Source organism: Homo sapiens, chromosome 9, assembly GCF_000001405.40.
Source record: "Homo sapiens chromosome 9, GRCh38.p14 Primary Assembly".
Classification (NCBI taxonomy): Eukaryota; Metazoa; Chordata; class Mammalia; order Primates; family Hominidae; genus Homo; species Homo sapiens.
Genome location: NC_000009.12, coordinates 5163564 through 5186554, shown reverse-complemented (window position 1 = coordinate 5186554; position 22991 = coordinate 5163564). Strand labels below are relative to the sequence as shown.

The 22991-nt window shown below is 40.0% G+C and overlaps 1 protein-coding gene across 2 annotated transcripts in view; it reads left to right on the top strand.

Moving 5' to 3' along the window:
* Nucleotides 916-22991, top strand: part of INSL6 (insulin like 6) — a 193664-nt gene continuing 171588 nt past the window's right edge. Inside the window, exons 1-2 of one of the 2 annotated variants that reach the window (XM_011517702.4) lie at nucleotides 916-1241; nucleotides 22290-22376. In XM_011517702.4, the coding sequence (XP_011516004.1) occupies nucleotides 953-1241; nucleotides 22290-22376 (376 nt within the window). In that variant the 5' untranslated portion in view covers nucleotides 916-952. Of the gene's footprint in view, nucleotides 1242-22289; nucleotides 22688-22991 lie in introns of those variants that run through there. The other variant, NM_007179.3, reaches the window with a different exon arrangement.

The window sequence follows — 22991 nt, the reverse complement described above, 5'->3', positions numbered from 1 at the left end:
AATGATAAAGCTACCTATGCCGATTGCGCTTCGCTTCCCTGCCCCTTCCCTCCTAACTGAGCAAAATTATCTCACCTAAATGAGCATTTCATGCTGCATGCTGTTATTCTTACAAGGCAAATCCTCTAGGGGTCCCTGTCACAAGTTAATTTGGTAATACACAATCCTCTACATTATCTAACCGAAAGAACCAGATTTCCATCCCAGGTACCTCAAGACAGCGTCCCTACTTCTTTTTTCTGGAGATTGAGGCTAAGGCCCATGCCTCCCTGTGAACCAGTAGGATTTTTCTGAAGAAGCTTTGAACCTGACTAAACGCACATGGCCATATGCAACACTTAAACGTTTCACCACATATTTGATTGCCAGCTAAATGCCAGATCCCGGGGTACGATGGAAAGCAAGAACAGACGCAGGCCCTTGCCTTCATGAAGCGGGGGTCTCAGGAAAGAGGTTACACGCCCACAAATGGAAACAGGTCGATTAACACCGTGAAAGAGATGACAGGGGGTTTCTGTGAGGGAGACGAAGCTTTATTAACAACCTGGCAAACAAGAACGAGAAACGCATTCCAGGTGGAGGGAGCAACACTTTTTAACCTACGTTATCAGGTAACAGGGATCCTATGTTCTCACGCTTGGTGAGGAATCTCCCATTGAGGAAGGAAAGAAAAATGAATCAAACTAGGGGGTGGCGGGGTAGTGAGGGGATTTTTGGCTTTCATTTTAGGAGCCAGGGCCTGCTACCTTCGACCACCTGAGACCCCTGAGCTGGCGGGAAAGCCTTGACGCAGCCGGCGCGCGCCTTCCCTTGAAGTTCTGGCGACGCCCCCACGCGCTCGGAATTCCGCAGTGTTTGTGCGCGCCGCTCGGCCTGGCGCAGGCGCAGACAGGGAGCAGGGTCCGGCCGACCGCCATTGCACAACGCGGAGGACTAGCCTGGGGTCACAGGGATGCCGCGGCTCCTCCGCTTGTCCCTGCTGTGGCTTGGACTCCTGCTGGTTCGGTTTTCTCGTGAACTGAGCGACATCAGCAGTGCCAGGAAGCTGTGCGGCAGGTACTTGGTGAAAGAAATAGAAAAACTCTGCGGCCATGCCAACTGGAGCCAGTTCCGTTTCGAGGAGGAAACCCCTTTCTCACGGTTGATTGCACAGGCCTCGGAGAAGGTCGAAGCCTACAGCCCATACCAGTTCGAAAGCCCGCAAACCGCTTCCCCGGCCCGGGGAAGAGGCACAAACCCAGGTAAAAATCGAAACCGAAGGCATGTTTGTTCACCTCTGTATATTTCTTATTCCTGCATTTGCTCTGCCAGAAGGTGAGCTTCCCCAGGAAGTGGAATTTGTGCCTAGTACACAGCTCTTTAAAAAATTGTAAAAAACAGTGTATTGAAAATATACAAAACTTCAATGAAGCGCTTTTTTTTTTAACTTGGAGGAAATAAATGTACACTTGTAAGTCTACATATTTATGTAAGAATGTTGTTCTTTTCTGGAGTGCCAGTCATCTGGCAAACTCCTTTTTGTCCTTCAAAGCCCAACTTAAGTATCATTTTCCCTGTGAAGTCATCATTGACCTTTTCATGGCCAATGGCTCCATTGTCCTTTCTACCACAGTATCTAGCACATAGTTGTATTTGACTGTCGTCATTGGCTACAGAATCAGCCCAACCTTGTAGAAGATAAAAATGCAGAGTACCTTGTTCAAAAAAGCAGGAAAGGGCCATGAAAATAAAGGTAGTAAAATATAAAACTGTTTTCCTTACTTGTCCATATCCCCTGGTCACGTACCAGGAGATAGGCCTGGTCCGTTCTCCTATCAGGCTTCATTTAAGAGTTTACGTACTTGTATTTCATTCACTTAAAGTTTCAAAGGTAAATTTATTCAGAACAACAAAGGAACATTTAAACCAAATGCAAGGCCTGTGTGACTACATAGGTTTCAGTCCCATAAAGTCAGCCCTATATACCATACTGTATTATAGGGACTATTTCATGCATATTTTTGTCTGAAATGCTTAGCAGATGGCCTAGCACATCGCATGTGTTTAATATGCGCTGAATTTATACTTGATGCTTTCAAGCAGTCTGCAGGAAGGATATTCTTGTTCCAGATTCATTGGTATATCTTACTATGTTTTTACATTTTGTGACTAAGACATTTTAGTCCCAGTATGATTTGTCATTTTAAAAGAAATTGCACTTTGTTTATAGTGTATCCATAGGAAGAAGATTACTGCCTTTTACAGTAATTCAGTTGATTTGATTTGGACAAATCTTGTAAAAGTGAAGATTTCTGAAATTAAGGAAATGAGTAAACTATCATGCCAAAAAGAGACCCTAATGTAGAGGACTGAAAAAAGTCAAACAATGCACATTGTAGGCACTCATTAGCTTTTTTGGAATGAATGAATAGAATTTATAAAGTCACTGTTGCTGAAAGAATAAAAACTTTTAAAGACAGAAACCATGAGACTGATTCATGATCATTTTCAAACCGACCCATCAAACTAACCCACATACAAACCTCACCTTGTCCTTCTGTTATAATGAAGGAAGTGTCTCTCCCCAGTCTTCTACTTTTACTTTAGTTCAGTGACTCTCACGCTTTAATGTGCATATGAATCATTTGGGAATCCTGTTAATTTACCGACTCTGAGTTAGTAGACCTGGGGTGGGGCCTGATATTTTTCGTTTTTAACTAGCTCCCAGGTGCTGCTAGTTCGTGGCCCACACTTTTGAGTAACAAGGTCCAGTTTACTGTCTGTCTCTCTCTTTTTTTTTTCTTTTAAACTCCTCTTTCTTGTTCTTTTCTCCCAGGAGTGCAAGGAGAGCCTTCCCTTTCTGCTTTATGTTGGGTGGGCATTTCTCTCACATCAAATACTGTGCTTTCACTACCTATGCTATAATACTGTAGTCAAAATTTTATTTTTAGACCTCCAAGCTTGAGGCTGTTATTTAAAGAGAGGTTGGAATGCCTTTTCTCAACAAAGTGCTCTAAAGACAGTTTTCTTAATAAAAATGTTCAACCTTAAAACTCAGCTTGTTAATGATCCTTTTGTTTTAAGTATTATTCACACTCCCCTGGAAGAATAAATGTCATTAATAATGAGCAGGAAGCTGCAATGAAACAAGACTTGTAGAAAATAAAAATGTATCTGAAAATATTTGAAAATTGTTATACCCACAAAACCTGCTACTATGGAAACTATGTAAAAGACAGTTTGCTGAAGTGGAAATACTATGTAACAGTAAAACCACAGTTGTATTGAAATATGTAGAGGAAGGAAAAATGGGTTAGGTTATCAACATGAATTGTATTATAATTTTAAAAATTATTAATCTATAAGGGAAGATGACATTTATTCTGTCCTGTTAATTTCTAGGAAATAATTTAGAAGTTGCAGAGATGTATATGTTTCTAATATAGAATACATAATTATGACATCATTTTTATATATGAATATGGCTGGAAAGTTGATTACTTTTTATTTCACTTTTACCAGCAGGACAAGTTGTTGTGTTAGATCAAGTCAGTTGTCTGAAATTTTAATATCCTGATGATCTACTTGAGTCTGACACAGAAAAATATAATTTGCTACGCTGCTATTAAAAAATGCTTTTTTTCAAAGCTACTTATACATATCTTGAATCTGTAATTGTGTGCTTCTTGTTAATGGACCCTGAAGGTGGAGGCAGTATCTCCAAGACCTACCCCGTAATGTGGCACCATGAAGTTGACATCATATTTCTAAATTACGACTGAGTATTGTGCTTCCGAGATATTAGTGCCAGGTGAAATCATTAATGTTTCAAAATCAGCTTTTCATAATCTGTAACCCCTATTCCAGTTAGATTAATCATATTCCCATATTCTTAGTCTTCATGTCACATATTCTTGTTTTTTTTGTTTCTTTATGTTTCAGATATCATCACAACTAGTCTGTAAAGGGCCCTTCTCTTTATATATTAGTTCAACAAAATTTGAGTACCTATCATGTGTTAGGCACTCTTCTTGGTGATTGGGATGTTAGAGTAAACGGTGAAGGCTCCTACCCTCATGAAGCCTACAGAATAGTAAAGATAGACAATTAACATAAGTAAATTATAATTTACAGAAGGTGATTATCCTCACTTAGCCCCTTTCTCCACTCCCATTCTCCTCCTCTCCTTGGCAATTGTTGTAATGTGTTTATTATATATTTTTTGTTTTTATAAGTTTTTGCAAATTATGCATTCTTTCCTGTTCATATGTTTTAAGATATATCTAAAAGGCATTTAAGATCTATATCTTATTGTTGCTATGTGAACATTTAGTCCATTGCTTCTAACTACTGCATAATACTCATGTGCATTCCTCACATTTTACTGATTTATTCAGTTTTGAACACCTAACCTATGTAGCCTTGAACTCCCTACCACTACAGATAACACTGCCATGAACATCATTGTATGTGTCCCCTTATGAACCTAGAAGTGTTTCTGGGATACACATCTAGAGTGGAATTGCTGTGTCATGAAGTATGTGTATGTTTAATTTGCCTGAGGAGTATCAGATTGCTCTTCAGAGTGACTACACCAATGTATAGTTGCACCACCAATCCTGTGTCCTCATATCTATGTCAACAATTAGCATTATACAGTTATTAACTTTTACCAGTGTAATAGATGTAAAATGACACTATATTTCTATTTTAACTTGCTCTGGGTCTGAACATCTTTTCATATACATGTTAACCTTTTGGATTTTCTCTTAAAATTTCCTGTTTATATATTTTGCCCAATTCTTGTTGGAATTGTTATCATTTTCCAGTTGGTTTATAGGAGTTAATCAAATCTAGATACAGTAACAACTAGTTGTTGGTTTTAGATGTCACAAATATGTTCTCCCATTTTGACATCTGTCTATTGCTGTTGCTTGACAGAAAGCCTTAACTTTTATATAATTAAGCAGTAAGTGTTTTGCCTTATGTATTAGAGGTCCTTTTCTGTCCTTCTGTTAACTTTTCAGTTTTACTTTTCACATTAAGTCCTTAATTATTAGGCTAATTTTTAGTTCTGGTCTCGGTAGGAATATTACCTCACTTTCTCAGTAAGTCTTTTTTTCTCTACATAGGGAGCTAGTTTTCTGAACACTTTCTACTAATCAATTATTTTTCTCACTAATTTGTGGGATAACCATTACTGATAAGTTTGAGCTTTCTATTTTATTTAATTGGTCATTTATTTGGCCTTTTATCGTTACTATTTTTGATACTGTGACTCTATAGGATGTCATTTATCTGGCAGGACAAGTCTTCAATGTTTATTTTTTCCCTTAGGATTGACTAACCTAAATCTTCAACCTTTATTCTTTCATATATATTTAAAAGTATGCTTATTGAATTTCTTTTTTAAAAGTCCACATGGAATTTTATTTGGGATGCGTGGAATATTATCAGGGGAACCCGCCCCCAATATTTCAATGTAGGTTCTATTTTCCATAAGTGTCCGCTGGCTGAGAAATAAAGAGTACAAAGAAAGGAATTTTACAGCTGGGCCGCCGGGGGTGACAGCACATATCAGTAGGACTCTAATGCTGGCCTGAGCCTCAAACCATCAAGTTTTTTGTTAAGAGTTTCAAAAGGGGAGGGGGTGTAAGAACAGGGAGTAGATCACATGCTTCAAAGTGCAAAGAGCAGAACTACTAATAAGGGTCTAACAAAGATGACATGCTTCTGAGGGAACAGGACAAATGGCAAAAGCAGAACTACTGATAAGGGTCCAATAAAGATCACAAGGGAAAGGGCAAAAGCAGAACTACTGATAAAGGTTTATGTTCAGTGGTGCATGTATTGTCTTGATAAACATCTTAAATAACAGAAAACAGGGTTTGAGAGCAGAGAACCAGTCTGACCACAAATTTACCAGGGTGGAGTTTTTCCCCACCCTAGTAAGCCTGAGGGTACTGCAGGAGACCAGGGCGTATATCAGTCCTTATGTCAACGACATAAGACAGACATTCCCGAAGCGGCTGTTTATAGACCTCCCTCCAGTAGTACATTCCTTTCCCAGGGTATTAATACTAATATTCCTTGCTAGGAAAAAGAATTTAGTGATATCTTCCCTACTTGCACATCCGTTTATAGCCTCTCTGCAAGAAGAAAAATATGGCTCTTTTTGCCCAACCCCGCAGGCAGTCAGACCTTACAGTTGTCTTCCCTTGTTCCCTAAAAATTGCTGTTATTCTGTTCTTTTTCAAGGTGCACTGATTTCATATTGTTCAAACACACGTTTTACAATCAATTTGTACAGTTAACACAATTATCACAGTGGTCCTGAGGTGACATACATCCTCAGCTTACGAAGATAACAGGATTAAGAGAGTAAAGACAGGCATAAGAAATTATAAAAGTATTATTTGGGAACTGATAAATGTCCATATTAAAATGAAATCTTCACAATTTATGTTCCTCTGCCATGGCTCCAGCCGGTCCCTCCGTTCAGGGTCCCTGACTTCCCACAACAGAATATATACACTAATTTGAAGAGGATTGACTTCTTTTTTTTGCTTCACCTTCTAAGTTCAGGAGTACATGTGCAGGATGTGCAGGTTTGTTACATAGATAAATGTGTGTCATGGTGGTTTGCTGCACAGATCATCCTATCACCTATGTATTAATCCCAGCATCCATTAGCTATTCCTCCTGATACTTTCCCTTCCCCCAGGGCCCCTGTCAGGCAGGCCCCAGTGTGTGTTTTCCCCTGCATGTGTCCATGTGTTCTCATCGTTCAGTTCACACTTACAAGTGAGAACATGTGGTGTTTGGTTTCTGTTCCTGCATTAGTTTGCTGAGAATGATGGTTTCCAACTCCATCCATGTCCCTGCAAAGGACATGATCTCATTCTTTTTTATAGCTGCATAGTATTCCATGGTGTATGTGTAGCAAGTTTTCTATATCCAGTTTATCATTGGTGGGCATTTAGGTTGATTCCATGTCTTTGCTATTGTGAATAGTGCTGCAATGAACATATGCTTGCATGTATCTTTATAACAGAATGATTTACATTCCTTTGGGTATACACCCAGTAATGGATTGCTGGGTCAAATGGTATTTCTGCCTCTAGGTCTTTGAGAAATCACCACACTGTCTTCCACAATGGTTGAACCCTACCAACAGTGTAAAAGTGTTCCTTTTTCTCCACAACCTTGCCAGCATCTGTTGTTTTTTAGCTTTAATAATAGCCATTCTGACTGGCATGAGATGGTATCTCATTGTAATCTTGATTTGCATTTCTCTAATGATCAGTGATGTTGAGCTATTTTTTGTTTGTTGGCCACATATATGTCTTCTTTTGAGAACTCTCTGTTCATGTCTTTTGCCCACTTTTTAATGGGGTTGTTTTTTTCTTGTAAATTTGTTTAAGTTACTTATAGATGCTGGATATTAGAGCTTTGTCAGATGGATAGATTGCAGAAATTTTCTCCCATTCTGTAGGTTGTCTGTTCACTCTCATGATTTTTTTTTTTTTTTGCTGTGCAGAAGCCCTTTAGTTTAATTAAATCCCGTTTGTCAGTTTTTGATTTTGTTGCAATTGCTTTTGGTGTTTTTGTTTTGAAATATTTGCCTGTGCCTGTGTCTTGAATGCTATTGCCTAGATTTTCTTCTAAGGTTTTTATGGTTTTGGGTTTTACATAAGTCTTTAATCCATCTTGAGTTAATTTTTGTGTAGAGTGTAAGGAAGGGGTCCAGTTTCAATTTTGAGCCTACAGCTAGCCAATTCTTCCAGCACCATTTAATAAATAGAGAATTCTTCCCTCATTGCTTGTTTTTGTCAGGTTTGTCCAAGATCGTATGGTTGTAGGTGTGTGGTGTGTGGTTTTATTTGAGTTCTCTATTCTGTTCCATTGGTCTATGTATCTGTTCTTGTACCAGTACCAAGCTGTTGTGGTTACTGTAGCCTTGTAGTATAGTTTGAAGTTGGGTAGTGTGATGTAGGAAACCACAGAGATGGTGGCTGCCCCTCCCCACAGGAACTTTGTTCCAGAGTGAGATCAGAGCTCTGTCTGTATAACTCTGGCTGGAGTGGCTGAAGCCTCCACATGGAGGTCCTGCCCAGTGAAGAGTAATGGATCAGTGTCCTGCTTAAAGAAGCAGTCTGGCCACAATCTGCCAAAGCAGCTGTACTGCCTTCTGGGGAACCCTTTCTCATGCCAACCAGCAAGCTGGAACAGCTGAGTAAAGGGAACCGTGGAGATGGCGGCAGCCCCTCCTCCCTAGGAGCTCAGTCCTAGGGAGAGATCACAGCTCTGTCCCTGTAACCCTGGCTGGAGTGGCTGAAGCCCCTACAAGGAGGTCTCACCCAGGGAGGAGGAATGGATTGGGGTCCCACTTAAAGCAGCAGTCTGAGCGTGGTGGCTCATGCCTGGAATCCTGGCACTTTGGGAGGCCAAGGCGGGTGGATCACTTGACATCAGGAGTTCAAGACCAGCTTGGGCAACATGGCAAACCCTGTCTCTACTAAAAATACAAAAATTAGCTAGGCATGGTGGCATGTGCCTGTAATCCCAGCTACTTGGGAGGCTGAGGCGGGAGAATCGCTTGAACCTGGGAGGTGGAGGTTACAGTGAGCCAAGATCACGCCACTGTACTCCAGCCTGGGTGACAGAGCGAGACTCCAACTCAAAAAAGAAAAAGAAGAAAAAGAAAGAAGCAGTCTGGCCACAGTCTGGCACAGCAGCTGTGCTGTGTTGTGGGGTACCTTCCTCCTCTGGACTGTTTGGATTCTCCAAAGCTGGGAGGCTGGAACAGCTGAGTTGACCTTTCCCAGAGATGGCGGCTGCCCCTCCTCCCAGGAACTCTGTCCCGTTTCAGGTGGACTCCAGCTTTTGCTTTGGGTGGCTGGAATTCCAAATCAGGTCTTAATTTGTGAGGTGCTGTGGAAGTGGGACGTGCAGAACAACTGCTTGGCTCCCTGGATTCAGCCCCCTTCCTTGGGATATGCACTGTCATATCTTCTGCCTTGCCAGGATCCCAGGGCCAGAATCTGTAAAACTCCTGGGCCTCATTGTGTGCCTGAGCGTTTGCTCTGCTGAGACTCCACACAGCTCTGTGTGTCGAACCCAAGGCCCTAGTGGCATGGGCTCACAATGGGATCTCCTGATCTGCAAAGATCTGGGATCAAAGATGGGATTTCCTGATCTGGGTTTCAGAGATCTCTGGGAGAAATGTGATTTCCCGGGCGGGGTGGCACAATCACTCACCACTTTCCTTGGCTGAGGGTGAGTTTCCTTTGGCTCCCTGCTGTTCCTTGGTAGGCCATTCATTGCTCCACCCTGCATTTCTTCTTTCTCTCTGGATCAAGTTGTTTGCCTAGTCAGTCCCAATGTGAGAACCTGGATATTTCAGTTGAAGGTGCTGAATTCACTCTTTTATTCCTCTCCCTGAGCGCCATGGATCACAGCTGCATCTAATTGGCCATCTTGTGCACCCAACTCCCCCCGACCCCATTGACCTCTTTATTACATAAAGTCATCCTAATCAAAGTCATGAAATTACTTATATTCTATTCTTATGATTTTAAAGTTTTCTTTATGGAAACTTTTACAGTATCATTGGTTAATTTCATGCTTAATACTTTTTTTTCTTTAGCTATTGTAAATACCTGTGAATTATATTTACTAGTTAGTGACTTGGCTAGAGAAATGCAACTTATTTTTATAGGTTGATCTTTATCCAGCAACCATGCTGAACTATCTTCATAGTTCTAATAGTTTGTTGATTCTATAGGTTTTTTATCACTTGAAAATGATAGTTATATCACTTTCTTGCTAAACTTATACCATTTTTTTTTTTTTTGCTTTGATTTCTTGTTTTGTTCCCAGGCTTAAAGGGCACGCATTTAAATATCTCCATTAGGTATGATGTTTGTAGGTTTATGCTATATAATCTTCATTAAGGTAAGGAAGCTTGCTAAGAGATTTTTTTTTAATCATCGTAAATAGGGCTGAACTTTATTAAGGTCTTCTTTTCGCATACTTTTGCTTAGTCTTATGATTTTTTCTTTTATTAAGCAAATACTCATTGGGTACCTACTAAGCATCCAGGCACAATTTTAGAATCTTGGGAATATGTCAGTGGACAAAACAGACAAAGATCAAAGGCTTTATGGAGCTTTATTAAGTAAATATTTGAAAGTAGTAAGAGCTACAGAAAAATGAAAAATGAAACAGGATAAGGGAGATAAACAGAGCAAGGAGTTGAAAGGTGGGGTATAGTATTAAACAGTGTGGTAAGGGTAGACCAATTATTGAAAAGGTGAGATTTAAAAAGAAGTGGTAAGGGAATTATCCAAGTGGATATGTGGAGAAAGGGCATTTATGCAGAGGAAATAGTGGAGCAGAGGCCCTTCTGCCTGATGTATACAGGGAGTAGCAAAGAGTCCAAATGTGGTTGGAGCAGAGAAAATGAGGAAAGTAGTAGAAGATAAGGTAGGAGAGGTAATAGGCAGACATGATAAAATAGGGTATTTTAGGCCAGTAATCCCCAACCTTTTTGGTACCAGGGACCAGTTTCATGGAAGACAATTTTTCCTTGGACCAGGGAGGGGAATGATTTTCAGATGATCCAAGCGCATTACGTTTATTGTGAACTTTATTTCTATTACTATTACATGGTAATGTTTAATGAAATAATTATACAATTTACCATAATGTAGAATCAGTGGGAGCCCTGAGCTTGTTTTCCTGAAACCAGATGGTCCCATCTGGGGGTGATGGGAGACAGTGATAGATAATCAGGCATTAGATTCTCATAAGGAGCGTGCAACCTAGATCCCTGGCATGCGCAGTTCACAATAGGGTTCACACTCCTATAAGAATCTAATGCTGTCCCTGATCTGACAGGAGGTAGAGCTCAGGTGATAATGCGAGCAATGGGGAGCAGCTGTAAATATAGATGAAGCTTTGCTCGCTCGCCTGCCCACTGCTTACCTCCTGCCATGTGGCCTGGTTCCTAACAGGCCATAGACCAGTTAAGTCCCCAGTGGTTGGGGACCCCCTGTTTTAGATCATTTTAAAGACTTTGTTTTGGGGTGATGCAAGGAGTCATTAAGATTTTTGAGCAGAGAAGTGACATAATTGACATTTTAAATGGATCACTCTGGCTACTGTGTTGAGAATAGACTGTAGAAAGGCAAGAGTAGAAACAGAGAGACCTGTTAGGGAGGGTCTTAGATGAGGATGATAGAAGTGAAGATAGTGAAAACTGTTAAATTCTAGTTATACACGGGCCATATTTGATGTGAGATATGAGGAAGAGAAATCAAGAATGACTCCATGGCCAGACGCGGTGGCTCATGCCTGTAATCCCAGCACTTTGGGAGGCCGAGGCAGGTGGATCATGAGGTCAGGAGATCGAGACCATCCTGGCTAACACGTTGAAACCCCATCTCTACTAAAAAACACAAAAAATTTGCTGGGCGTGGTGGTGGGCACCTGTAGTCCCAGCTACTCGGGAGACTGAGGCAGGAGAATGGTGTGAACCCGGGAGGCAGAGCTTGCAGTGAGCCGAGATAACGCCACGGCACTCCAGCCTGGGCGCCAGAGCGAGACTCTGTCTCAAAAAAAAAAAAAAAGAATGACTCCAAAACATTGTTAATTCTGAAGTTTTGTATGTGGAACACCTAGAAGGATGGGATTGTCATAAATGAGATAGGAAAGGCCTCGAAGTGGAACAGGTTTGGAAGACGGTATCAGTAGTTCAGTTTTGGACATGTTGAATTTTGTGGAGTTTTAGACAATGTTGAGTTTGAAACATTAATGTGGACTTGTTGAGTAGGAAGTAAGGTATATAAATCTGGAGTTTGAAAGAGTCATCTTGTTTGCAGATAGAAGTTCAGAAGTCGTAGGTAGATAAATAATTTTTTGAGCTGTAAGACTAGAGGAGATCACCAGAAGAGTAAGTGTACATAGAAAATAGTACTAAGAACTGAGTCCTCAGAAACACCAACAATAATAAGTTGGGGAGTGAGAACTTGTAAAGGAAACAGAAAAGGGACAACTACTTAGGTTGGAAGAAAAGAGAGTGTGATATCGTGGAAACCAAATGATGAAAGTATGTCAGGAAGAGGTGTATTTCATAAATCAATTAAGATGTGAATGGCTGTTGAATTTAGCAATATGTTTGTGACCTTCATAAGAGAAGTTTTGGTAGAGTGATGAAATGAAAGTCTGATTAGAGTGGGTTTAAGACAGTGAGAGAAGAGGAACAAATTAGTAAATATAGAAAACTCTATCAAGGAGTTTTGTTACAGAAAAGAGAAAATAGATACGATGGTAGCTGGCATGGTAAGTGGGGCCAAGAGAAATGTGTTTGGGTTTGTGTGTGTGTTTTTATAAGTGGGAGAAATAAGTTTTCTGGTAAGAGTGATTCAATAGAAGTTAAAAACTGATGAAGAATGCGGAGAAGGATTGCTGGAGTAGTGTCCTAGGGTAGGCAAGAGGAGAGATGTAATACGTAAGTGCAGAAATTGGCTTTAGAGTGTATAGTTCATCTGTAGAAATAGGTAGAAAGGGAGAGTATATGGGTGTACCTGTTAAGAGATGAATTTAAAAATTTGGCAAAGGGAGTCGATGCAAGTTCTTTTTCAGATTGCATCAATTTTCTCCTGAAGTAGAAAGCAAATCCAGCTGTGATTGAGGATGGGTGTCTATTAACATGGTAAACTAAGTTGATAGGTTTTGTGATCTTGACCTGTCCTCGTGTTTCTGGGATGAACCCTTTCATTCTTTTTTTTTTTTTAATTTTATTTTTAAATTCAGCAGTACATGAGCGAGATGTGCAAGTTCATTACATAGGTAAACGTGTGCCATGGTGGTTTGCTGTGCCTGTCAACCCATCACCTAGGCATTAAGCTCAGCATGCATTAGCTATTTTTCCTGATGCTGGCCCTCCCCCAACCCCACCCTCTGACAGGCCCCATTGTGTGTTTTTTGCTTCCCCATGTTCACGTGATCTCATTGTTCAGCTCCCACTTATAAGGGAGAACTTGCTGTGTTTGGTTTTCTCTTCCTGCCTTAGTTTGCTGAGGATAATGGCTTCCAGCTCCATCCATTTCCCTGCAAAGGACATGATCTCATTCCTTTTTATGGCTACATAGTATTCCATGGTGTATATGTGCCACATTTTCTATATCCAGTCTCTTATTGATGGGCATTTGGGTTGAATTCATGTCTTTGCTATTGTGAATAGTGCTGCAATGAACATATGCATCTTTGTAATAGAATGATTTATATTCCTTTGGGTATATACCCAATAATGGTATTGCTGGGTCAAATGGTATTTCTGGTTCTAGATCTTTGAGGAATCACCACACTGTCTTCCACAATGGTTGAACTAATTTACATTCCCACCAACAGTAGGAATTAGTTCCTATTTCTCTGCAACCTCAAAAGCATCTGTTGTTTCTTGACTTTGTAATAATTGCTATTCTGACTGTCGTGAGATAGTATCTCATTGTAATTTTGATTTGCATTTCTCTAATGATCATTGATGTTGAGCTTTTTTTTCAAATGTCTGTTGGCTGCATGAATGCCTTCTTTTAAGAAATGTCTTTTCATGTCCTTTGCCCACTCTTTTTTTTTTTCTTTTGAGGTGGAGTCTTGCTTTGTCACCCAGGCTAGAGTGCAATGGCATGATCTCGGCTCACTGCAGCCTCTGCCTCCTGGGTTCAAGCAATTCTCCTGCCTCAGCCTCTCGAGTACCTGGGACTACAGGCACACACCACCACGCCCAGCTAATTTTTGTACTTTTAGAAGAGGCAGGGTTTCACTACATTGGCCAGACTGGTCTCGAATTCCTGACCTCAGGTATCTGCCCACCTCGGCCTCCCAAAGTGCTGGGATTACAGGCGTGAGCCACTGCACCTGGCCTGGCCACTCTTTAAGCGGATTGTTTGTTTTTTCTTGTAAATTTGTTTAAGTTCCTTGTAGATTCTGGATATTAGACCTTCGTTAAATGGATAGATTGCAAAAATTTCCTCCCACTCTGTAGGTTGTCTGTTCACTCTGATGGTAGTTTCTTTTGCTGTGCAGAAGTTCTTTAGTTTAATTAGATCTTATTTGTCAATTTGGGCTTTTGTTGCAATTGCTTTTGGTGATTTTGTCCTGAAATCTTTGCCCATACCTATGTTGTGAATAGCATTGCCTAGATCTTCTTCTAGGGTTTTTATAGTTTTGGTTTTACAGTTAAGTCTTTAATTCAGCTTGAGTTAATTTTTCTATAAGGTGTAGGGAAGTGGTCCAGTTCTCCCAGCACCATTTATTAAATAGCGGATCCTTTGCCCATTGCTATTTTTTGTCACGTTTGTCCAAGATCAGATGGTCATAGATGTGCGGTCTTATTTCTGAGTTCTGGAACAGAAATTCTATTGGTTTAGGTGTCTGTTTTTGTAACAGTACCATGCTGTTTTGGTTACTGTACCCTTGTAGTATAGTTTGAAGTCCAGTAGTGTGATGCCTCCCTTCAGCTTTGTTCTTTTTGCTTAGGATTGTCTTGGCTGTTTGAGCTCTTTTGGTTCCATACGACTTTTTAAATAGTTTCTTCTAGTTCTGTGAAGAATGTCGATGGTAGTTAGATGGGAATAGCATTGAAACTATAAATTACTTTGGGCAGGATGGCCATTTTCACGATATTGATTCTTCCTATCCATGAACATGGAATTTTTTTTTGTTTGTGTTCTCCCTTATTTCCTTGAGCAGTGGTTTGTAGTTCTCCTTGAAGAGGTCCTTCATGTTCCTCGCTAACTGTATTCATAGGTATATTCTCTTTGTAGCAATTGTGAATAGGAGTTCATTCATAATTCAGCTCTCTGCTTTCTTGTTCTTGGTATACAGGAATGTGTGTGACCTTTGCACGTTGATTTTGTATCTTGAGACTTTGCTGAATTTGCTTATCAGCTTAAGAAGCTTTTGAGCAGAGATGATGGTGTGTTCTAGATGGGGTGTCTATGTTTGCATGTCATCTGCAAACAAAGACAATTTGGCTTCCTCTCTTCCTATTTGAATACCCTTTATTTCTTTCTCTTGCCCGATTGCCTTGGCCAGGACTTCAGATACTATGTTGAATAGGAGTGATGAGAGGGCATCCTTAACTTGGGCCAGTTTTCAAGGGAATGAATCCAGCTTTACCCATTCAGTATGATATTTGGCCGTGGGTTTGTCATAAATGGCTATTATTTTGAGGTATGCTCCATCAACACCTGATTTATTGAGAGTTTTTAACATGAAGGGATGTTGAATTTTATGGAAGATCTTTTCTGCATCTATTGAAATAATCTTGTGGTTTTTGTCTTTAGATATGTTTATGTGATTAATTACATTTATTGATTTTGTATATTTTGAACCACCCTTGCACCCTGGACATGAAGCCAACTTGATCGTGGCAGATAAGCTTTTTGATGTGCTGCTGTATTTGGTTTGCCAGTATTTTATTGAGGATTTTTACATTGGTGTACTTCAGGAATATTGGCCTGAAGTTTTTTTGTTGTTGTATCTGTCAGGTTTTGGTATCAGGATGATGCTGGCCTCATAGAATGAGTTAGGGAGGAGTTCCTCCTTTTTGATTGTTTGGAATAGTTTCAGAAGAAAGAATATCAGCTCCTCTTTGTACTTTTGGTAGAATTCAGCTGTGAATCCATCTGGTCCTGGGCTTTTTTTGGTTGGTAGACTATTTATTACTGCCTCAATTTCAGAACTTGTTATTAGTCTATTCAGGGATTCAACTTCTTCCTGGTTTAGTCTTGTGGGGGTGTATGTGTTCAGGAATTTATCCATTGTGTCTAGATTTTCCGGTTTATTGGTATAGAGGTGTTTATAGTATTATCTGATGGTTGTTTGTATTTCTGTGGGGTCAGTGGTGATATCCCCTTTATCCTTTTTATTGTGTCTATTTGATTCTTCTTTCATTTCTTTATTAGCCTACCTAGTGGTCTATTTTATTAGTTTTTCCAAAAAAAAAAAAAGCCCCTGGATTCATTGATTGTTTGAAGGGTTTTTCGTGTCTCTGGTCTCCTTCAGTTCTGCTCTAAGCTTGGTTATTTCTTCTCTAGTTTTGGGGTTTGTTTGCTCTTGGTTCTCTACTTCTTTTGGTTGTGACGTTAGGGTGTTGATTTGAGATCTACCTTTTTGATATGGGCATTTAGCGCTATAAAGTTTCCTGTTAAGACTGCTTTAGCTATGTCCCAGAGATTCTGATACGTTGTTTCTTTGTTCTCATTGATTTCAAAGAACTTCTTGATTTCTGCCTTAATTTTATCATTTACCCAGGAGTCACTCAGGAACAGGTTGTTGAATTTCCATGTACTTATGTGGTTTTGAGTGAGTTTCTTAATCTTGAGTTCTAGTTTGATTGTGCTGTGGTCTTAGAGACTGTTTGTTATGATTTCAGTTCTTTTGCATTTGCTGAGGAGTGTTTTACTTCCAATTATGTGATGTGCCACGTGGTGCCAAGAAGAATCTATATCTGTTGTTTGGGGTTGGAGAGTTCTGTAGATATCTATCAGGTCCATTTGATCCAGAGTTGAATTCAAGTCCTAAATATCTTTGTTAATTTTCTGTCTCAACAATCAGTCTCATGTTGACAGTGGAGTGTTAAAGTCTCCCACTATTATTGTGTGGGAGTCTTAAGTCTCTTCGTAGGTCTCTAAGAACTTGTTTTATGAATCTGGGTGCTCCTGTATTGGGTGCATATATATTTAGGATAGTAAGCTCTTCTTATTGAATTGACCTGTTTACCATTATGTAACGCTCTTGTCTTTTTTATCTTCGTTGGTTTAAAGTCTGTTTTGTCAGAAACTAGGATTGCAACCCTTGCTGTTTTCTGTTTTCCATTTGCTTGGTAAATTTTCCTCCATACTTTATTTTGAGTCTATGTGTGTCTTTGCATGTGAGATGAGTCTCTTGAATTCAGCACACCAATGGATCATGACTGTTTATCCAGCTTGCCCTTTGTGTCTTTTAATTGGGGATTAGCCCATTTACATTTAAGGTTAATATTGTTATGTGTGAATTTGATCCTGTCATCATGATGCTGGCTGGTTATTTTGCAGACTTGTTTATGTAGTTGCTTCATAGTGTCACTGGTCTGTGTACTTTGGTGTGTTTTTGTAGTGGCTGATAATGGTTTTTCCTTTCCATATTTACTGCTTCCTTCAGGAGCTCTTGCAAGGCAGGTCTGGTGGTGATGAATTCCCTCAGAATTTGCTTGTTTGGAAAATCCTTTATTTCTTCTTTGCTTATAAAGCTTAGTTTGGCCAGATACAGTATTATAGGTTAGAAATTATTTAAGAATATCTGCTGGGTGCAGTGGCTCATGCCTGTAATCCCAGCACTTTGGGAGGCCAAGGCAGGTGGATCACCTGAGGTCAGGAGTTTGAGATCAGCCTGGCCAACATGGCAAAACCCTGTCTTTACTAAAAATACAAAATTAGCCGGGCATGGTGGCGCATGCCTCTAATCCCAGGGACTTGGGAAGGGTGAGGAAGGAGAACCACTTGAACCCTGGAGGCCGAGGTTGCAGTGAGCCGAGATGATGCCATTGTACTCCAGCCTGGGTGACAAGAGTGAAACTCCATCTCAAAAAAAAAAAAAAATCAAATAAATATTGGCCGCCCGTCTCTTCTGGCTTGTAGGGTTTCCACTGAGAGGCCTGCTGTTAGTGTGATGGGCTTCCCTTTATAGGTGACTCGACCTTTCTCTGGCTGCACTTAACATTCCTTCATTTTGACCTTGGAGAACTGATGATTATATGTCATTGGGCTGATCTTCTCATGAAGTATCTTATTGGGGTTCTCTGGATTTCCTGAATTTGAATTTTGGCCTGTCTTGCTAATTTGGGGAAATTCTCCTGGATGATATACTGTAGTGTGTTTTCCAACTTGTTTCTGTTCTCCCCGTCTTGTTCAGGTGCCCCTATTAGTCATAGGTTCAGTCTTGTAAGATAATCCCATAGTTCTCGGAGGTTTTATTCATTCCTTTTCATTCTTTTTTCTCTAATCTTGTCTGCCTGCCTTATTTCAGCAAGATAGTCTTCAAGCTCTGATATTTTTTCTTCCACTTGGTCTATTCAGCTACAAACTTCAAACTTGTGTTTGCATCGTGAAGTTCACGTGTTGTGTTTTTCAGCTCCATCAGGTTACTTGTCTTCCTCTCTAAACTGGTTATTCTTGTTAACAGCTCCTGTAATGTTTTATTATGGTTCTTAGCTTCTTTGCAACAAGTTTGAACATACTCCTTTAGCTCAGGGATGTTTGTTATTATCCATCTTTTGAAGCTTACTTCTGTCAATTTATCTATCTCTGACTCAGCCCGGTTCTGTGCCCTTCATGGAGTCATGTTACGATCATTTGGAGAAGAGGCACTCTTGCTTTTTGAGTTCCCAACGTTTTTGCACTGATTATTTCTCATCTTCATGGGTTTATCAACCTTTGATCTTTGAGGCCAATGACCTTTGGATGGGGTTTTTGTGAAGTCTTTCTTGTTTATGTTGTTGTTGTTGCTCCCTGTTTGTTTTTATTTTAGCAGTAGGGCCACTCTTCCATAGGGTTGCTGCAGTTTGCTGGGAGTCCATTCCAGACTTTATTCACCTTGGTTTCTTCCACCCCAGGAGGTATCACCGTGGAGGCTGCAGACCAGCAAAGATGGCAGGCTGCTCCTTCCTCTGAGAACTTTGTCCCAGAGGGGTGCTAACCTGATGCCAGCAGAACACTCCTGTTGGGAGGTCTCACCCAGTTTGGAGGAATAGGATCAGGGACCCACTTAAATAAGCAGTCTGGCTGCCCCTTGGTAGAGCAGGTGTGTTGTGCTGGCAGAAATCTCCCTCTCCAGAGCCAGTAGGCAGGAAAGACTAAAATGGCTGATCCACGATAGCGTGGCCAACCCTCCTCCTAGAGCCTCTTCTCAGGGATATCAGAGTTCTATCCATAAACCCTCCACTGGGGATGTGAAAATTCCCACAGGGAGGCCCTGCTCCGTGAGGGGGAATGGATTGGAGTCCCACCTAAAGAAGCAGTCTGGCCACAAACTGTCCCAGCCGCTGTGCTGTGCTGTGGGGGAATTGCTCCCCATCCAAACTGCACTGGCATCATGGTAGGGGAAAACGGTGGACTGAAGACACAGTAATGGCAGCTGCCTCTTCCCCCCAGGAACTCGTGGTCTCAGTGCCTGCTCAAGTGCCACCCACCTCAGCAGCCACCATCAGTCTGCATAGCTTAATGCTTGGAACCCAAGGCCCTGGTGGCATGGGCTCATGAGGGGACCTCCTGATCCCCAGGTTGCAAGGATTCATGGTAAAAGCATGGTTTTCAGGGAGGGGTAGCACAATCCCTCACTGCCTCCCTTGGCTGGGGAAGGGAGCTCCCTTTGCCCTGTGTGGCTGGCTCCCAGGTGGGCCCTAGCTCCACTGTGCTTTTCCTTGCTCTCTCTGAGTCACGCCAACCTCCTAGTCAGTCCCAATGAGAGAACATTGGTAACTCAATTGAAGATGCAGAATCCACTTGCCATTTTTGTCCTTTTCGGTGGGAGCTGCAGAGCAAAGGTGTTTCTATTCAGCCATCTTGGCTGCTTCCCCGAACCGTTTCTTAATGTATTTGTAAAACGTGTTTATGGATTCAGTTAACTAATATTTAGGAGTTTGAAATCAACATTTGAAAGTCAAATGAGTTTTTAAATATTTTAAAATCTCATATTGTTCTTACCTAGTTTTGGAATAAAGATTATGCCAGCTTCATAAAATGAGCTGGGCAGCTTTTGCTCGTTTTCTGGAACAACTTGTATATTATTAGAATTTACTGTTTTTTAAAAATAAGTGGAACCACCCATATCTGTGTTTTTTTGAAGGTGATAACTCTGACTACCCTTTTCATTTCTTTGAATATTGTTGGTACACTTAGGTTTTCTGTGTCATTGTGTACCAGTTAAGGCATCTTGTATTTTTCTAGGAATTCATCCATTTAATCTTTATTTTTAAATGTGTAAGCATTCATAATATTTATTTTAAAACTTGGCTGTATTTACTTATTTCTTTTTTTCTGCTGTATTTTGTTCATTTCCATCTTTTTTGTTCCTGATTAGTCTGGATAGAGTTCTATCTTATTCTTTTAAACAAGCAACTTTTTAATTAAATAAAAAGTTATTAAAGAGTGCTCTAATAGGCCTCTAACTGCAAAGAATATAGATTCACCTAAATAACCTCAAGATAAAAGGGGATAGTAGTTATTATAAAAACAAACAAGGTATAGAAGTGGACCTAGAAAGACTTTGTAAAGCCTAAGAAATCATATTACCTCTTAAAAAAACAAAACAAAAACAAAAACAAAAATCTTCTGCCTTCCTCTCTCTCTGTGAATCTTTTCCGTGTGTTTATGTTCCTTTATGACTTTAGCTTGTCATGACAAACCTCATAGAATCCTTCTAGCTTTGGTTCTCACTAACTCATCTTTTTCTCGTTACTTCTTAGTTCTAGTTTCAAACTGAGGAAATCTGATTGGGTCGATTCATGTTTTTCACATGACGTGGATTGCTAGCCATTGTGACAGATTGGTTTCTTTTGGGTCAGGTGCCAACTTCCAGTTTGTTCCACTGTGGCTAGAGGGTGGAGTCACATGGTTCAGAACATGGCTGCCTAAGAGCTGGCTCTACAGTAGAGACTATTGGCAAATATATCCTCCTAGAAGGTACTGTAGATGAGCAAGGGCCATAATGGAAGTACAATAAGTCTTCAAATAATTACCTTCTGGAGTTATTTTGGTTTCCAGTATCCAGTATTGCTAAGTGAGTTAAGAGCAGCATAACAGTGACAATCAGTTCATTGTACCTAGAGCATATTACCACTTCTCTATTTCTTTATATTTTAATAAAGAACAAAATGGTTTCTACTGCTCAGTTGTAAGATGTGCATAAGAAGACAAATTATCAAATTTGAAAATGGGCAAAGGATTTGAAGAGACATTTCTTCAAAGAGGATATATAATAAGCATATGAAAAAATGCTTAACATCATTAGCCATGAGGTAAATGCGAATCAAAAATATAGTGAGCTACCACTGTGCATCCATGGTGATAATCAAAAAATGGAAAATGTCAAGTTTTGATGGGGATGTGGGAAAATTGGAACTCTACTGTACCGATGCTGGGATTGAAAAATTGTACAGCCACTGTGGAAAAGTTTGGCAGTTCCTCAAAACATCAAACAAATTTATATCATGCAGTGTTCCATCCCTAGGTTACATCCCAAAGAATTCAAAACATATGTTCACACAAAAACTTGTGTGTGAATGCTCATAGCAGCACTATTCTTTTTTTTTGTTTTTTGAGATGGAGTCTTGCTCTGTCACCTAGACCGGAGTGCAGTGGCACTATCTCGGCTCACTGCAACTTCTTCCTCCCGTGTTCAAGTGATTCTCATGCCTCAGCATCCCAAGTAGCTGGTATTACAGGCGTGCACCACCATGCCTGGCTAATTTTTTGTGTGTTTTTAGTAGAGACAGGGTTTCGCCATGTTGGCGAAGCTGGTATTGAACTCCTGACCTCAAGTGATCCGCCCGCCTCGGCCTCCCAGAGTGCTGGGATTACAGGCGTGAGCCACTATGCTGGGCCATCAGCACTATTCATAATGACCAAAAAGTGGAAACCACTCAAATGTCCATCAATTGATAAATGGATAAACAAAATGTGGAATATCCACACATTGGAAAACTATTCAGCCATAAAAAGATACATGCTACAATGTAGGTGAACCTTGAAAACATCATGCTAAGTGAAAGAAACCAGACACAAAAGGTCATGTATTGTATGCTTTCATTTATATGAAATATACGGAATAGGCAAATCCATAGAAACAGAAAGTAGATTGGTGATTGCTAGGGGATAGTGGGAGAGGGAAATGGAAATGACTGCTAATGGGCATAGGTTTCTTTTTGGATACAGATGTTCTGGAGTTAGATTTATAGTTTCACAACCCTGCGAATATACTAAGACCCACTGAATTGTATTCTTTAAAATGACTAATTTTATAGCATGTGAATGATATCTCAAATTGTTAATACAAAAATGTACAAAGGCGTACAGCCTTTTAATAGGAAAACACTACACCTACTTTAGTTAAATATTGCTTTTGAATAACCATACTTTCCATTCTTTATTTAAAATGTGATTACTTGTTTTTTAATAATTAGCTGATTTTACTGTTCCAATATTAAATTTTCATCTAAAGGAAGATTTTAATAAAGGAGCATTTATTTTCTTCTCTCTCAACAGTGTCTACTTCTTGGGAAGAAGCAGTAAACAGTTGGGAAATGCAGTCACTACCTGAGTATAAGGATAAAAAGGGATATTCACCCCTTGGTAAGACAAGAGAATTTTCTTCATCACATAATATCAATGTATATATTCATGAGAATGCAAAATTTCAGAAGAAACGTAGAAACAAAATTAAAACCTTAAGCAATTTGTTTTGGGGGCATCATCCCCAAAGAAAACGCAGAGGATATTCAGAAAAGTGTTGTCTTACAGGATGTACAAAAGAAGAACTTAGCATTGCATGTCTTCCATATATTGATTTTAAAAGGCTAAAGGAAAAAAGATCATCACTTGTAACTAAGATATACTAACCATCTTAGAATTTTTTCTAACCTAATAAAAGCTTAATACATTTATTTAACTCTATTTTTTTTTGTAATTGTGCATATAAGTGATATGATGTGAAAAATGTCTGAATGTACTTGCAAGCACTTGACCATACCTTATAGTGGTAATAGGTATCTTAGTATTTTCTTTGGTGACCCTGTTGTTTTCCTTAGTTTTCATACGCTTTTTGAAGATCTGGAGATGGTTTGATCCATGCAGACATCTAAGAGTTACCTGTTCACTTGTCATTACGGTTGAAACTCTCTTAAGCTGTGTTTTAAGATGGATTATGGAACCTTCTGCTTTCCATCTGTATGACACACAAACTGATGC